The 13,417-nt window shown below is 42.7% G+C and overlaps 1 protein-coding gene across 1 annotated transcript in view, besides 5 other annotated features; it reads right to left on the reverse strand.

Annotated features, from left to right (window-relative positions):
* Nucleotides 1–13,417, reverse strand: part of DCUN1D3 (defective in cullin neddylation 1 domain containing 3) — a 45,434-nt gene that overhangs the window by 11,909 nt on the left and 20,108 nt on the right. The gene's annotated exons all lie outside the window — the stretch shown is intronic.
* Nucleotides 67–567: an enhancer, noted in NCBI's record as "H3K27ac hESC enhancer chr16:20878222-20878722 (GRCh37/hg19 assembly coordinates)". NCBI's record gives its function as "activates a minimal SCP1, AML or CMV promoter by ChIP-STARR-seq in primed H9 embryonic stem cells {active_cell/tissue: H9 hESC(primed)}" and the evidence as "EXISTENCE:reporter gene assay evidence [ECO:0000049][PMID:30033119]".
* Nucleotides 7,530–7,629: an enhancer, noted in NCBI's record as "active region_10543". NCBI's record gives its function as "activates an Ori minimal core promoter by ATAC-STARR-seq in GM12878 lymphoblastoid cells {active_cell/tissue: GM12878}" and the evidence as "EXISTENCE:reporter gene assay evidence [ECO:0000049][PMID:35858748]".
* Nucleotides 7,880–8,099: an enhancer, noted in NCBI's record as "active region_10544". NCBI's record gives its function as "activates an Ori minimal core promoter by ATAC-STARR-seq in GM12878 lymphoblastoid cells {active_cell/tissue: GM12878}" and the evidence as "EXISTENCE:reporter gene assay evidence [ECO:0000049][PMID:35858748]".
* Nucleotides 8,746–8,825: a silencer, noted in NCBI's record as "silent region_7246". NCBI's record gives its function as "represses an Ori minimal core promoter by ATAC-STARR-seq in GM12878 lymphoblastoid cells {active_cell/tissue: GM12878}" and the evidence as "EXISTENCE:reporter gene assay evidence [ECO:0000049][PMID:35858748]".
* Nucleotides 12,170–12,239: an enhancer, noted in NCBI's record as "active region_10545". NCBI's record gives its function as "activates an Ori minimal core promoter by ATAC-STARR-seq in GM12878 lymphoblastoid cells {active_cell/tissue: GM12878}" and the evidence as "EXISTENCE:reporter gene assay evidence [ECO:0000049][PMID:35858748]".

Here is a 13,417-nt window from a genome sequence, read left to right on the forward strand (position 1 = left end):
TTACTCTGATTACTGCCCAGTGGTCTACCTTCTTCTGTGTCTACCCCCTTCTCTGGGAAAATACTTTTGCTCTCCCAGAGCTTTCCCCAGGCTCCATCACAGTGCCCAGCCCCATGGCCCAGGCTGGCAGCACTTCAAGTGTTTTAAAGTTGAAGGTCTCCCGTAGACTCACTAGCTGATGGCTAACAGCTAATAATAGCAGTCATCAATTATTGAGCACTTGATACGGTGCCAGGCACTATGCTAAGCACTTTTGGGGACATGAACTCACATATACTCATCACAGCCTCATTTAAAAACAAGGAAACTGAGGCTGAGGAAAGTAAATTACCCATGATCACACATCTGGCTCAAGATACCATGACATTTACCCCTAGGCTAGATTGCTGAGCCCACCCCCAGCAAAGCATCTAGAGAGAACACATGACGGACCGGCCCCAAGTTCAGGAGTGACACCACAGCAACCCCAGAGCAGCAAATCTCACCATCAGCCACTGGAGAGAGAACACATGGTCTGTGCTCGGTGCTCAAGAAGGATCTCCTACTCGCTGCCATGATCCAGGCAAGCACCATGCACCCAGGCTCAGCCCCACCAGACGTGGAAACGAGAATTAGTCCAGATGCCCTAAACGTGTGACGTTTTTGTCCACCAGCACAGTTAAAAGCTCCAGCTCTGAAAAGGACGCCCAACTGCGCCACTGGCTAATTGTTTGACCCTAATGGAAGCCTGAATTTCCTCAATCTGCAAAATGATATCTGCCTGATAGAGCTCTTGAAAGGATTCAGTGAGGAACTGCAGATTAAAGGTACATGGCTTCAGAGAAAACACTTGATATGACAGCTGTTACTGTATCAGTAGTAGTAGTAGCTCAGTAGTATCTGGTTAGCCTGTTGGAAGCCCCAACTTACCCCATCTGAACAATGGGCTCCAGGCCTCAGATTCCACAGGCCCAGCTGGCCAGGACTTCCTATCCCTGCACTGAGTCACTGGCCCAGGGCTTGTTCCAAAACCGATTATCTTGCCACAGCACTGATCCTACTCAAATACACCACTACCCAGTAATGCTTGGAGGATCAGACTCTCCACAACACAGGATTTCCTTGTGATTGATCCTGAATAAAATCAAGCTGAGTATCTGCTGTGCCCAACGGACAATGAATTGCTGGTTATGCCCAGTCCCTAACCTGGAGCAGGCTTTCAGCCAGTTCCAAACTCCTTCCCCTCTCCACTTAGTCCCAACTCTGTAGATCTCTGCAAAAGAAAGGATGTCTAGCTTTCCACTCAGTTACTAATTTAATGGAACTGCCTTCCCAGTTGGTCCTCCTCCCCATCACTGCCACCTCTGAAGTGGACAGCCTCAGCACAATCTGGACATCCCAGCACCAAATTTTCAACAGCAACAGAGCATTATTAGTCCTGAATATCATTTGGTATTTGTTAATACATTAAGAAAGCTATATATAAATGTAGCTCTGTGAAGCAATTACCCCCATTTTACAGGAAACTAAACACAGACAAACTGAGGTCAAGGAGTCTATTTAGGAATGGAGGAAACAGAAGCGCAGTGATGAAGAGGATGAGCTCAGACAAACCAAGACAAACCATTGCCATTGCCATGGCAATCTCACCAAATAATGGGAACTGTCCGCATGGAACTTTAAATCGAGGCAGTTGTACCTCAAAGCACTATTGGGTAGAATAAATAACGCAGGTAAATGCTCTGCTCAATACCTGACTCACAGAAAGCATTTGGTTGGTGTTAGCCTCTATAATAGTTATAATTATTGTCACAACTTTGGTGACAGAATCGTCTCCCTTCTCCTAGAACAGTGCTCTTTTCAGGAGCCAGCCCAGATCTCCCATAGCGATTCAGGTCTGCTCACAATAAGTGACCATTCTCCTGCATTAGCAAGGGACACAAATGGGTTGAATGGAGCCAGAGACAAGGAGGGATGTGGAGAAAGAAAAGGCAGAAGAAAGAAGGAAAAAAAAAACCCATGCACTGGGGAAACCAACTTCTAGGCTTTTTTTCTTTTCTACTTATAGCTTTGAGTGTTTACCTGAAAGACCAAAGACAGCAGCTCTGCTCAGCTTCTGCTGGACCAAGATCAGCCTCCAGCTTCTCTCCCTCAGTCTCAGCCCAGCTGCTCTGCCTCTCCCTCCCTCCTCTGCACATCAGCCTCCAGACTCTTTCCTCCCCTGTGCCAGCGCTGGCCGCTGTTCCTGGGGATGGGCTTGGCTGGCTGCCTGGTCCTAGGCCTGGAGCGGCCACTGCTGAGCCCAAAGGGCAATCCCAGAGGCTGCAGTCCCTGGGTTGCTCTAGCTCCAAAGAGGGATCAGGAAGTTGTTCCCATCTCCTAGGCAGATCATGAAATGACAACCAGGCAAGTCCCTGTCTTCTAGGGGCTTACTCTCAACTGTGTCTTACAGAACAGAACCACCACAGAGGACAAACTCACACTGAGACTCTGTACAAATGCAGACAGGAGAAGGAGAGAGAAGTGTGAACTACTATTACGGAAAGAAAGGTAGGGAGGGACTGGGGACGTGAAATCAGTATCTGTGGAGCCTGGGGCTACATGCTTCATATTCATCATCACCTTCAAGCCTCCCAACAACCTCAAGAAAATAGTTGTTGCAGCTTTCATAGATTAGGAAACAGGTCTCTTAACTACTAAGCAGTAAGGCTGGAAAATAAAACCAGTCTGCCAGACTTTCCATGGGCAAGTTTCAGAGAGAAGGCAGGTTTAATTCTGGTCCTTAAATGTCTATAAGCATGAAATGGAAAGGAGGAGGGAGAGGGTTGATATGGTTGGCTCATGTTATTAATGTATATTAATAACAATATTGTAAAAATAATTACATATATTTATTGGCATGAATTATCACATGTAATCCACGACTCTATAAGGAAGACAATATAATCTTCATTTTACAGAGGGAGGAAGTGAATAGAGCTTGAGGGAGGTAGCCTGAGGTCACACAGCCAATGGAGGAGAAGGATTCAAATCCAGGCAGTCTGACTCTAAACTCGCCACTTTCCATCACTGGTCTCACTACTGTTCTCTGCTATGATGTGTGCCAGGATATTCCCCTACCCCTAAGGAGGTCCTGGTGCCCCAAGAAGAAAATGTCCAACATCCTATCAATGCCTAAGTATATTCCTGAGGAACCAAGTCAATAGGAACAGAATACGCCCCCAGGAAGCCTTTGGTTCTGGTGTGAAATCCTCCTGAGCAATGTGCACTCTCGAGCAAGCCACTTAACCTCTCTGAGTTTCTGTGACACTGACATTAAAGTGAGAGGTCTGGGTTAGTCTTTCCAAGGTCTAATATTCTGGGACTACTTCACCTTTTTTGGCATTCAGTGAGGCCAAAGTTCTAAATGTGCAACCCTCCTAAGGACAGGCACTTTGCCTCCTTGGTGAACAGATCTCACACTACTCCTTGCCCAAGACTATCAGAGTCAAAGAAAAAGCAGAAGTCCAAAAGCAGAGGGAAAGCAGGGCTACTCCAATCTGAACAACGAGGGATAGGAAACACCAGTTTTGCAGCCTTCCCTCTCCTTAATCATCTTAGTTTGATCTCTGGAGGGTCAGTAACAGGTCCAGACATGGAAAACAGACCCAAGTAAACTGCTGCAGCTCGCTGGGTCAGGAAGCCCACTCAGAGGAATGCATGTTGGCTACTACTAATGGACAGCCTGTCACCCAAGGAACAGACTTGTGAAATGAGGAGCTAAAAAACAGGAGGCAAATGCTGGCACCAAAAGTCAGTGTCAGCAAAGCACTTGAGATCTGCTCTGAGGCTTCCTTGACAGAAGGGACCAATCCATTCCACTCCTCCATTCTGTTCCCATCTAGAATCTATTCAGCAGCAAGAAACCACTGCCAGATGCTGGTGCTCCTACATATTAACAATATAAAAAGCCCATCTTTTCAACTTTCATCTAAATAGTTTGTAGAGCTAGCTGGGTGCAGCTTTTTATTTCTTCCTACATATGTCAGATACCCAAAGGCCAGAGAACATAAGTACATGAATTCCTCAGACAGCTTTTCTACAGCTGCCAGGGGCTGAGGCGGTTGTACTGGCACAGCCATCCTCCGGAGAGTCTCAAGGACCACAGGAGCCCCTTGATCCCACCTGGGAGCAAGACTCTGAATGACCTGAGAAAAAGACGGAATATGGCTGGTGTCCATTTGTAAACTACTTCCTAGAAAGTAAATGTGCAAAAATAACAAGGAAGACTGAGGGAACACTTTAAATGCACAGTTGCTGCTGCCACTTCCAACTTAAGACTTCAAAGATCACCTTTGGAGATTAGGTCTTACCCAGAGCTACTTGGGAGGGAAAGTTGATCCCTCTGCCAAAGCAAACGAGACCCGTCTGCTTCTATTTTCCAGCTTTTAAAAGACTTTTTGTCCTAAAATGTACAGCAGCAACAAGCAACAGCAGTTCCAGTTAGGGTTGGGGAGGAACCCATGACTTTTTACATCAACCAATCTCAAAAGTGCAAAAGAAAAGAGGGAGGAAGGAAGGGAGAAAGGGGGTAGGGAGGACAGAGAAAACTTTTAAAAAAGAAAACTGGCTATGTTTCTATAAAAATCATCTTAGGTCACATGACTAAGACCAGCCAGTTTAGCATAAAGTCATTTCTTTTTGAAAGTGTTCTCAATGTCCCTCGCATTGCACCCTTTGAATTCACTACTAAGAATATATGTCCAGTTGAGGCCTCAGGACTGAAGCCAGTGTGGGCTGGCTAGAACAAATGCCTACTTGCCAAATACAGCCAAGCCAACACACGCACATACTATAAAGTTTCCAAATACCAAATAATGAACCATTTTTTTGGTCTCTGGGCTTCCAAACTGAGCTACATGTTTAATCCCACATAACTCAAAATAACCAAAAAAGGGCTATATCATTTCACTGACCCATACTTGAAATATTTTTTGCTGTCACTATTGATCTGGGCATTTCTAACTACCCACTTATGTGCAAGGGGGAGCATCATAAATGGGCACCAAATTTCTAGGTCATTCTTTGTTTTCACACCAGCTTTTCCAGTGACTTTCCCTGTTTAAAACCAGAAAGCCATCCTGGATTTGTACTGAACCTTAACTCTAATAAAAACGGCATGCCTGCTGCACTCTTCATCTCCGTTATAAGCTTGCAGCTTGTTTTATTCCTTAGGATGGAGCCTCAGTAGAGCCCACTGAAAGTAAACCACTGATTAGCACTAATACCCTCCTTCCAGTCAGCATATGGTTATCAGCCACCCTGGAGGTTTACCTGATTGTAGCTGATTAGTCCTCAAAACACCCAATTACCACATCAACTGCTCATTTTTCAATCACCTTCTGAGAACTTGGGAGTCAGCAACTCACTGAAAATTAGTGAACTGGAGATAAGGTTAGATTTTTGCATCTAAGTAAAAGGCAAGAAAGGAAATTATGAAATGAGTCCAAAGACGACGAAGGAACACAACATACAGATGATAAATGACTGCATCCAAATGTCTTAAAGGGCACCTGGATGACCACAAATGTAGATATGTGGTTTCGGGAGCCAAAGGCCTCTAAGTAGGCCTCAGGTTCACCACGTGGTAACCAATCAACCTCTTAATGTTTGCTAATTCTTAAAAAAAAAAAAAAAAATCTAAATCCATTAAGACCACATTTATCAGCTTTTTCCCCACGATGGAGGTTGACTGCTAATGCATAGCAGACAGGAAGAGGAAGAGGGACAGAAAAGATCCACACAATAAAAGAATTCCTGCTTTCAACCACATCAGTAACCTGGTCAGAAAAGTGAGGTCACTAGACTCTCTTTCCTGCTGGCAAATTCAAAAGTATTACATAATTATTTTGTGAAGTTTAGAAAGTACAGAGAGGCATAAAGAAAAAAAAAGCCAATCACTAATTTCACCACCTACGGTTAATATTTTGGAGTATATCCTTTCAGTCTTGCTTCACTGCGAATCACATCAAAAAGGCTAACCAGGCTAGGCGCAGTGGCTCACGCCTGCAATCCCAGCACTTTGGGAGGCCAAGGCAGGTGGATCACGAGGTCAGGAGTTCAAGACCAGCCTGGCCAACATGGTGAAACCCCGTCTCTACTAAAAATACAAAAATTAGCTGGGCATGGTGGCACATGCCTGTAATCCCAGCTACTTGGGAACCTGAGGCAGGAGAACTGCTTGAAGTGGGACCTGGGAGGCAGAGGTAGCAGTGAGGAAGACTGTGCCACTGCACTCCAGCCTGGGCTACAGAGCGAGACTCTGTCTCAAAAAAAAAAAAAAAAACAACTAACCAATCCAATGATCCAGTGATTCTGGCTCCAGGGATTTTAAGGAAGTGTTTTTAAATGATGGGGGAATGGGGAGAAAAGCAGCTTAATCCTAAAGACATCTTTCACTTATATCTAAATTTCCTCAATTTATTCTTTCAAAAGAAGATCAACTTCCTCCTCACACTCCCTCCAAGGAAAAGAAGAGGACAAAGATGATGACCATCTTAAGGTCTAATGAGTAACAGTCCCCTTATCAAAGGTTTAACATCAGGGGTAGAAGGGTCTGGCCCATGGATTGAGTGATTCACATTCCCAGGGAGCAAGAGGCTCATTCAAAAGAGAAATGTGGAATGCCTGGAAATGGTCAATGGGCTGGATTTAGTGTGAAGACTAACATGGGCTGTCAAGCTGCAGACTGGGTCAAAGGACAGATTTGTAGCAGACGTGTCTGCCTTCCCAGCATCCAGGCTCTTCATCAGGTGATTACCCAATTTTCACCAGCAGATCCTTTTCCCTCGCTCTCGGCCATATGGCTGGGTGGGGTTCATAAAGAACTATGGGACTCAGCCCCACCAAGGCCTCACATGCCCCTGGCTTTAATGACTGGACCCAGGATATGCCCATGACAAGCCAGCCAGACAGAATCTCAACCCTGAAAATACAGGAGGCTGGAGATGCTACCAGAAAGAGCTACCAGAGAAAATAAGAATGCCTAGGGGGTCACTGTGAGGATTAAATGGTCCCTGTTTATCACATGGGGCTCAGCTCAAATGCATGTAGAACCCAAAAATGAAATCACCAAGTGGAAAGCAGTATGAAGAGACAAAGGGAAACTGAATTTTGAAGGCATTATTTACACCCTGAATCCAACTGTTCCTAGAGTCAAGATCAAAGCCTGAACTTCACAGGTGTGAGCCAACAAACTCTCCTTTGCATAAGTTAGATATCAGGTTTTCTATCACAACTGAAAGAGTCCCTACCAAGACACAGCTATGTCACTCAGATCTCTTCTATTCAGAGAGCAAAGAGAGAGAAGATCTAATTGCCAGATGTTCTGATTCATGGTTCAGAACCAACTGACTAGGCCACAATTTCTAGTCGAATATATCATAGGACCCTTAGCTGAACAACAGGACCAATGATCCCAAGTTCATGAAAGCTGTCAAATTCCATTATAACTACGTGGACCAGTAGGATGCTATTTAAAAGATGGTATGACTAACTGGCTACAAGAATCTTTCCAATTGCAATTTTTACACCGTTAGACCTCCTTCAAGTAGATATGCCACAGAATACTTCAGGAGCTTTATTCTATTGTGTACATATTTGCTGTCATCATCTTGTTCCCAAAGAGGAACCCCGTCCCAGCATTCAGACACCATGTGAAAGGCTGAAAGCAAAAATCTCTCAGAAGTCTTTCTCTGTACAATAACATGATCAACCTTCCAGCTGAAACAGGTATTTGATCTAAACCATATCCCATGAAACTGAAAGCCCAAATCTAACCTGAACTTGGCTACCCTCTTGGTTTCAATTCCTATCACTGAGACAATTTCTCTTTGATTTTACATGCCGAAGAGCCTATTAAGAAAGTGTTTAAGTTTCAAAGACTGACAGGAAATGCTCATGTTTGCACATCTTTATTTGAATACGTTCTCTGCAGGTTGAAACTTGAGGCCCCAAGGTTTAGGCTTTGATTTTTTTTTTTAAGTTACTTATTTTCACAAATGCTCATGTAGCATGAGGCCCCAGAGTACATTAACATGTGCAAAGATAAGCAGGTAATTAAAAATGGAGCTCTATACCTGTTGGAAGGCACTGTGGTACTGCAAGCTTTGCAAAGTAAGACATCTGATGATTCGTTCCTGCCCACTTCCCACCCACATGACCTGCCAAAATTGCTGCCACCTAATGGCCACCACAATGCTGTCTATTAAAACCCTGCCCTAGCAGCTATGCCCTATTTTAAGAAACAACATAAAAAATTTATAAAATAAAGCAGCAGCACCATAAGTTCTTTCAGTCATCAATAAGTCTGAAGACTCAAAGACAACTATGGCCCCAGAATAAACTGCGTGCGCTCATGCACACACACACACACACACACACACACACACACACACACACACACAAATGTTGCATCCAACAATAGGGGGTCCATGAAATTACATGCAACTTTTCTGAATTGCGTTCAGTGTCTTGACTGTTCTGCAACCAACATTCAATTCTCTCACTCAAAAACCAGTTGCACAGATATTGCAGCTCCTTCAGCTGCTCCAGTATAGTCATGTGCCTTCCAGGAGGGAAAGTACATGCATTGGATGCAAAATGACTAGGTTTGTACAGCCCAGCTCTACCAACTCTCTAGCTCACACTTAACCATATTCCATCTCAGTCTTCTCAGTTGAAAACGGGAACTAAAACAAATCACTGTGAACTAAATGACTATATGCAGAAGAATAAAACTAGATCCCCTCTCTCACACTATATACAAAAATCAAATCAAAGTGGATTGAAGATTTAAATATAAGACATGAAACTATGAAACTACTAGAAGAAAACACTGGGGAAATGATCTAGGACACTGGTCTGGGCAAAGATTTTTTGTGTAAGACCTTAAAAGCACAGGCAACCAAAGCAAAAAGAGACAAATGGGGTTATATCAAGCTAAAAAGCTTCTACACAGCAAAGTAAACAATCAACAATGTGAAGAGACAATCCACAGAATGGGAAAAAAAATCTGCAAACTATCCATCTGACGAGGGATTAACAGCCAGAATATATAAGGAGCTCAAACAACTTAATAGCAAAATAATAATAATAATAATCTGATTTTTATTTTATTTATTTATTTTTTTTGAGACAGAGTCTCACTCTGTCACCCACGCTGGAGTGCAGTGGCATGATCTCGGCTCACTGCAACCAATCACCTCCGAGGTTCAAGTGATTCTCTTGCCTTAGCCTCTCGAGTAGCTGGGATTACAGGCGCATGCCACCAGGCCCAGCTCATTTTTGTATTTTCAGTAGAGACAGTGTTTCACCATGTTGGCCAGGCTGGTCTCAAACTCCTGACCTCAGGTGATCCGCCTGCCTCAGCCTCCCAAAGTGCTGGGATTACAGGCTCGAGCCACTGTGCCCGACTCTAATCTGATTTTTAAATGGGCAAAAGATCTGAATAGATGTTTCTCAAAAGGAGACATGAAAATAGCCAGCAGGTATACGAAAAAATGCTCAACATCACTAATCATCACAGAAATGTAAATAAAAGCCACAACGAAATATTATCTCACCCCAGTTAAAATGGTTATGAAAAAAAAAAAAAACAGAATAATGAATGGCAAGGATGTGGAAAAATGGGAACCCTCGTATACTGTTGGTGGAAATGTTAATGAGTATAGCCACTATGGAAAACAGTATAAAGGGCCCTCAAAAAACTGAAAATAGAACTACTGTATGATCCAGCAATTGCACTACTAGGTATATGTGCAAAGGAAAGAAAATCAATATACTGGAGAGATCTGCACTCCCATGTTTATTGTAGCATTATTCACAATAGCCAAAATATGGAATCCACCTGAGTGCCCATCCATGGATGAATGGATAAAGAAAATGTGGTACATATACACAATGGAATATTATTCAGCCATAAAAAAGTATGAAACCCTGTCATAGGCAACACGGTTGGAACTAGAGGTCATTACGTTAAGTGAAATAAACCAAGCACAGAAAGACAAATAGCACATGTTCTCACTCATGTGTGAGCTAAAAAAGTGGATCTCAGGAAGAGAGAGACAGTTATCTTCTCTAGGTAGTTACCAGAGGCAGGGAAGGGGAGCGGGAGGGGAGATGAAAAGAAGTGGGTTAGTGGGTACAAACAGAAGTAAGACCTAGCGTTGGAAAAATCAGTAGGGTGACTCCAGTCAACAATAATCTAATGTACATTTCAAAATAGGTGGAAGAGAATAATTTAAATGATCCCGGCATAAAGAAAAGATAAATATTTAAGGTGATATAATATCCCAATTACCCTGATTTGATTTTTACACATAATGTGAATGTATCATATTATCACATGTCTCAAAACTACATATATTATTTATCAATTAACAAAAAAATGGGACTGAGTTCTGCGATGAAAAAAAAAAGGTCACGGTGAAGAATAAATGGCTGCTTCATATGAGATGGGTCTCAGTTCACGTGCTGACATGTGTTCCATGTTCAACCAATCCAAATGCCACTTCCCTCTAATTCAGCACAACGCTGTTTTACTTCTTCACGGCACTTACAACTCTGTGAAATTCTAATTTGCTGACTTATTTATTGCCTGCTCCCTCTAATAGCAGGCATTTTACCTGCCTTATTCGCCACTTTACCCTGTGCACCTAGGCTATGTGGCACATGGCACATTGATAAGTATCTGTAGAAGGAATAATAGTCACTGATACTGAGCACATGCTCTGTACAAGGCTTTATTGCTTTAAATATATTAACTCGTGATTGAATAAATGCTGAATCTGAGATGTTTAGCACTTTCTCACACACAATTAATACTCAATAAATGGTAGCTATTTATACCAATTCAAATTATAGGATGATGTCAACAAACACTCAACAGGAAAGAGTAAAGGGAGTTGAGTCCTAAGAATGCAGAACTCAATTCAGTTCTCAAGAGCTGATTTTTTCTTTTTAGAGACAGGATCTGGCTCTGTTGCCAGCCCAGAGTGCAGTGGTGCAATCATAACTCACTGTTAACTTCAAACTTCTGGGCTTAAACGATCCTCCCACCTTAGCCTCCCAAAGCAGCTAAGACTACAGGCACATGGTGCCACACCCAGCTACTTTTTTCATTTTTATTTTTGTACAGACAGGGTCTTGCTATGTTGCCCAGGCTGGTCTCGAACTCCTGGGCTCAAGCAATCCTTCTGCCTCAGTCTCCCAAAGCACTTGGTTTATGGGTGTGAGCACTGGGCCCAGCCCTGATTCTTAAGGTCTATTTTTTCTTGGACTCCCCCCATTCGAAGCACCCACTACCTTCAGAGAGGAAAGAGAGGAGAGGATTATCTTATTACTCCAATTATTCTTTACCTTATGAGTTTCTCAGATAATGTGATACAAACACAGCTTCTCAGCCAGCAGTACACAGGTCCATCTCTCCTCACTTCACAAGCTAATTTTCACCTCAAATACAGCAAAAGCCAGAATATGAAGCTGACATAGGGAGATGTTCAACCTGTCATGTCTCTTTTTGACCTGTACCTCAGGATCTTAGAAAAAATTCACATTAATGGAAATCACTTCTGCCTCTCTTTTCAGTCAGGGTGTTATGTCCAAGGGTTTACTGAAGCCACAGCCATGCACTGCACTCTAGGAAGACCAAGGGGCTCACCAACTGGGAACACTCCAGTGAAAAGCCTCAGGCTGCTGGTCTGAACTGCATCTTCCCCACCTCAACAAATAAAGGCATCATATTTAAGGTGTCTAGAGATGCAGGAGCAACAGCCAGCAGCTTTTTTGAATACTGCATACTACTTGCTTTAAATACGAATTCAACTGCTTAAAACACAAGGACTCATGGCCAGTGTTACACCTCTTGAGATGTTATACCACTGTTCACTTGATGACAGAGTGACTTTTAACTTGGAGGGCTGAAGCACATACCTTATCAAAGAGGGTAAGTGATACAGACAATAAAGGTCCTCCATCTCTTTACAGCCACCAGAGACAATGAACTTTGTTTCACATGACTGCGAGAAAGGCCAACAACTAAAGTCCTCAACGGGGCCCCCAAAGCCAGAGGTACTTGCTGAGAAAGCAAAGGGCAGATTCCACCTCCGCTGGCTGGCAGACCCACACATTCTGCTTAACCATGTGAAACAGCCAGCTCTTACTCTGCCCGCCCCCAGGCCCAGTTATGATATTTGGGGTAGAAAGAGAATAGCAACACCGGTGACTTTTCTAGGAGGCTGTTTTATAAAAACAGAGCTTCCAATTTTAGGCCTAAAATTGAAAAGAAAAATAGCCAGAATTAGAAGTCTGTTTTAACACAATATATTGAAAATTACAAGTTTAAACACTGGTAGCTGGAGACGGGGTATCACACTACCACATGACTTCTCAGTGAGTCATAAAAAATAGTACCGGCTTGTTTAACAGTGATCGTCCACCAGTGACAGAATTAAGAAGTCCGCTTGTGTCAAATGATGGAAAACCAAACTGATACCCCTCTTGTGTTTGTTTCAGCAGTGGCAGAACTGACACAAATGAATTGCAGCAACAATCTACAAGACAAACACTGATAAACCTTTTTTGAGGCTGGTCAAAGAGGAAATGTTTGAAACCCTGAATATGACTCATTTTTCAGAAGTCAGTTTAACAGGAGAAAAAAAAATCTCTAAACTATTAATAAATCACTAACTGAAATATTTCTGGATTGCTAACATCCAATCTTGATTAGCATACCTTTGTGTCAAAGCAAAAGCCAAATGCAGGCATTTAACAAGTCACTACCCTTTCAGTTAGGAGAATCGCTCTGGTGGAACTAGATGAGAACAACAAAAATTAATCTTCAGGCATAGATGGATACTGTCATGATAATAAGATAATAAAGACCTCCCCAAAGGATTTCTGGGTATCATAAATTATATAACAAATCCACTTCTGCCAGGCAGCCAAGATTAACTCCTATTCACCCAGGTTATGACTCGGTATTGCCAATGGGCTTATTGAAGTGGAAGTCTCATTATCCACCACTGCTCAGCAAAAGGCACAGTCATCTTTCTCATTGCAAATCAATTTGCTGACACCAACTACTCACTGTAAGAGAAGTCAACCTAATAATCTTAAAAACAACTTTGACACTTGTTTCTTCCAGGCCAAAAACATATTTTAAGAACCAGAAAAGAAAATGTTCCGTAATTTCTCCCTCCCAGTAAGTCCTTAAACCGAATTTTTTAAGTGCCTAAGATGACATTTTATTATAATATACTTTATTATGTCTATCGTGCGTCCAAGGCTTAAATGCATTACACATTATTTATTCCCTTGGGACAAAAACATTCATGGCTCCCAAGCAAATAGTCAAATATAAAAAGTACATAGAAGAGAAAGGCTGTTGTCATTTTAGTGA

This window comes from Homo sapiens, chromosome 16 (assembly GCF_000001405.40).
Source record: "Homo sapiens chromosome 16, GRCh38.p14 Primary Assembly".
NCBI classification, from domain to species: domain Eukaryota; kingdom Metazoa; phylum Chordata; class Mammalia; order Primates; family Hominidae; genus Homo; species Homo sapiens.